Source organism: Homo sapiens, chromosome 1 (genome assembly GCF_000001405.40).
Source record: "Homo sapiens chromosome 1, GRCh38.p14 Primary Assembly".
Classification (NCBI taxonomy): domain Eukaryota; kingdom Metazoa; phylum Chordata; class Mammalia; order Primates; family Hominidae; genus Homo; species Homo sapiens.
This window is the reverse complement of record NC_000001.11, coordinates 55,638,143-55,641,685: the sequence shown is the minus strand read 5'-3', so window position 1 is coordinate 55,641,685 and position 3,543 is coordinate 55,638,143. Positions and strand designations below refer to the sequence as shown.

At 44.5% G+C, this 3,543-nt stretch overlaps 2 annotated features.

The window, feature by feature from the left end:
* Positions 338-407: an enhancer, noted in NCBI's record as "active region_1074". NCBI's record gives its function as "activates an Ori minimal core promoter by ATAC-STARR-seq in GM12878 lymphoblastoid cells {active_cell/tissue: GM12878}" and the evidence as "EXISTENCE:reporter gene assay evidence [ECO:0000049][PMID:35858748]".
* Positions 428-597: an enhancer, noted in NCBI's record as "active region_1073". NCBI's record gives its function as "activates an Ori minimal core promoter by ATAC-STARR-seq in GM12878 lymphoblastoid cells {active_cell/tissue: GM12878}" and the evidence as "EXISTENCE:reporter gene assay evidence [ECO:0000049][PMID:35858748]".

Here is a 3,543-nt window from a genome sequence, read left to right as displayed (position 1 = left end):
CATTTAACCAGCTCTGTAAGACTCTCCCACCAAGAACACCAGTAAAATAGGGCTCAGAAGCAGTCATTTACTACGTGTATGCCCTAAATTGTCTTGCCTAATCCTTAGGTCAACCATGCAAAGTAGATATTTTTATCTACATTTTACAAATAAGGAACTAAAACTCAGAGATGAAAAAGCATACAGGGCCTTTCTTTCGGAGGTCATGGAGCCGAGTGAGTGGCTGAAAAGGGACTGTAATCCAGGTCTGGCTGGAGAGCTGGTGCTAGGAACAGCAACACATTGCAGACCAGGAAGTCACAGGGAGCATGCGCAGATGCTGTGGCACCAGCAAGCCGGTAGCTACAATACAGACATTTAATAAATGCTGAGCAAATGCTCAGAGCATAGAGTCTTGTGTTTTGTTTTAAAGTGAAACCATCTGAAGCGGCCCCGTTTCCTCCTGTAAAGCAAGTTTTAGGGGAGAAAAAAGACCTGAGAAGCTGTAAGGCATTGATATGGTTGTTGGTTTTCCATGTTATCATCTCCCAATTAAGAGGAAAGGAAACCTGCTGGCTTGGAGCTGTGGCTCTGCCCCCAGAGAGCTCTCGCTGGAGGGTTTAAGAGAAAGGGAGATGATGAGATCAGAAACCCTATCTGCCTCTCCTCCTGTGGCACAGTGGAGTTGCTGTTGAAAAGCTCCGGAAAGTCCTGTGTGCTAGAAGATTCAGAGGGACATAAACTGCCCCATCCTGCCCCCAACCTCAGCTGCCTTCTCAGACATTCTCCAGAAGTGGAATAATTGGACCAAAGAGAATATGTCTCAGGAAGCTCTGCTTCCAGATCCCTGTCCAGACTTGTTTAAAGACAGCTGCTCTGATCATTAAAATGAAATAGGACATGTAACCAGATTATAGGGAAATTATTGCTATTAACAGTAATAATTACTCTCTGTTCAAGTAGCTTCCTGAAATTAAAAAAAAAAAATCAAAGCAGAAGCTTTCAATTACTTTACTTAACAACCTATACGAACCCTTTGAGTATGTGTATGTTTGTGAAGCATCAGAGACAGAGAAAATTAGGGTTGGGGAGAGAGGAAGAATGAAGGACTATTTTGTACTTTACAGTAAATAGACTGTGAATTGTGTGAATACTTATTTTCATTAAAACAAAAACATTTAGAGAGTACCTGTAGTATGCCAGGCTCTGTCAAAGGTGCTGTGGATATGGATCCAAGTAAGACTGAGTACCCTGTTCTGGAGAAGCTCCAGTCTCCAGCAGGAGACACAAATTCAGAGGCAACCATTCTGCAGTATAGCAGGTGCCATGAGAAAGGGAAGCATGAGTAGCCAGAATCACACAGAGGGGCAAGCTTCGCTCCACTTGGCTGGGGAAAAGGGAGGGTAGACTTCCTGGAGGAAGGAATGCCTAAGCCACATCTTGAAGGATGTGCAGGAGTGAGATGGAAAAGGAAGGTTGAGCAGAGTTTCTGAGCACAAAAGGCCCAGTGGTTTGCTGTGATGACCTCAGTCACTGAAGATGAGGCTGGAGATGAGGCTGAAGGTGAGGGTGGGTAATAGACAACTAAAGGACAAGACATCCAGGGAGAATTTTAAGCAGAAGGAGCATTTTAGAAATACAACTATGGCCGTAGAAAGGGAGAAGTATTAGAAGGCAACTGCAGGGAACCATGCTAGAAAAGAGCTGGCCCTGAATCTATAGACAGGAGAACATGAGTATTAGAAATCTTTGAGAATTAAAGACTTGTAAGGTTAGGTTGGTGGATGGATGTTGGCAGGGGTGACATTCAAAGGTTTAACAGCCAGAACAGCACAGACATTGGCGAATCAGAACAGACACCAGCTAAACACAACTGGCAGAGCCGAAGTATGCCTCCTGGCTGATAGAAGCCCTGGCAAGAGTTTCTAAACACCTTTCCATCCACGTCAGCCTGCAGGTGAGTTGCCTAGCTCGCTCATGGAGGCATGTCATTTTTACCAGCATTTCTTCACTTCCCTGCTATGGTAGCTTGATGGCACTAATAGGTCCCTCCTTCTTGACTCCTCTCAGTTATTTTGGACTTCAGGGTTTTATGAAGGCATAAAAACATGAAGGCAGAGTACATTCCCCCATCCCATGTGACTCACTTTAGCCAATATGACGAAGTGGAAGTAATGGTGTTCCAGTTTGAGCCTGAGCCACAAGAGGCCCTACATGTTCCCTCTGGCTCACTTGTACCTCTGCCATTTTCATAAGACCATGTTCGGGCTAGTTTTTTAAGGAATGAGAGAGACACAGAGCAAGGCACAGGAAACCCAGTGACCCCAGCTGAGGCCATGCTAGACCAGCCAACAGACAACCCCTGATGTGTGACCAGGCCCAGACAAGATCAGCAGAGCTGCCAAACTGATCCCAGATAACTCCTGACAGATAAGAGTTTATTGCTGTATGCATTAAAGTTTTGTGGTTGTTTGTACAATGGCAATAGATAATGGATACTTCCTCCCTTCTAACTCCTTCCTTTCCCCCAGCACACATACACATACCTGTCTTACAAAACAGTCAGTGTGTCATCCAACTCTTATCAGCATTCTTAATACAAAGGTATCAAAAATATTTAACAAGGAAAATACTTAAAAATAAATCTGCAGGTGGCTTATAGACAGAAAGTCTCTCAAAAATCCCCACTGTCATTGAGTAGAGCCAGAACCTCTGGAAAAATGCAGAGTATGGCAGGAAGTGTCTAAGTTGGAGAATTATCTAGAACATCTCTGCCTTCCATTGCTTGAGCACGCTGCATCCAAATTAAGCATTTCTTTATTATAAATCCAATGCATTAGGGCTCTAGGGGATCAACAAATCATGTGCCTTTCTTCTTATATATTCAAAGCCAACTAAGATAGACATAGGACCCAGGCAGATATAGATTAAAAAAAAAAAAAAAAACAGCTTTTATGCTGATAAAAGAACATGGCTGCTTTAGATAGGGCCAAAAGGATTAGTCAACAAGATACTTCAGCCTGGAATTAAACTCACCCACTTGGCATGGGGGATGGTGGGAGTGAGGGGCTCCCAGAAGGGCAGACTCAGACTGCCTAGGGTGGCTGTGAGCAGACCAGGACACACGCTCCTGTTGGCTGACAGACTGCCTCCCACAGCCACCATCAGACAGGCACTCCCCTTCCCTGGCAGAGAGACCAGGAGAGGTGGTCTTGCTGGAGGCCCTCCATATGGAAAGGTGAGAGATGAGGAAAAACGCTCCTGCTGACATTCTGGCAATATTCTGTTGCCTTAGATTACCACAAACTTTTCAGTAATGTTGCTGCTGATTTTGCCCAAGCCATGACATCTTCCCTTCTTCCTGATAGCAATCATGGCATCCCAGCAGGAAGAGACTGACTTCTAATGCTGCTGTCCATGGGGGACTCTTCTCATGTAATTCAGCCATGGGTGCACATGTGTGCACACTCATACACACCCTTACACATATATACTTATTTACATACACACTCACACATGCACACATTCATGCATACACATGTACACATTCACATGTACATACTT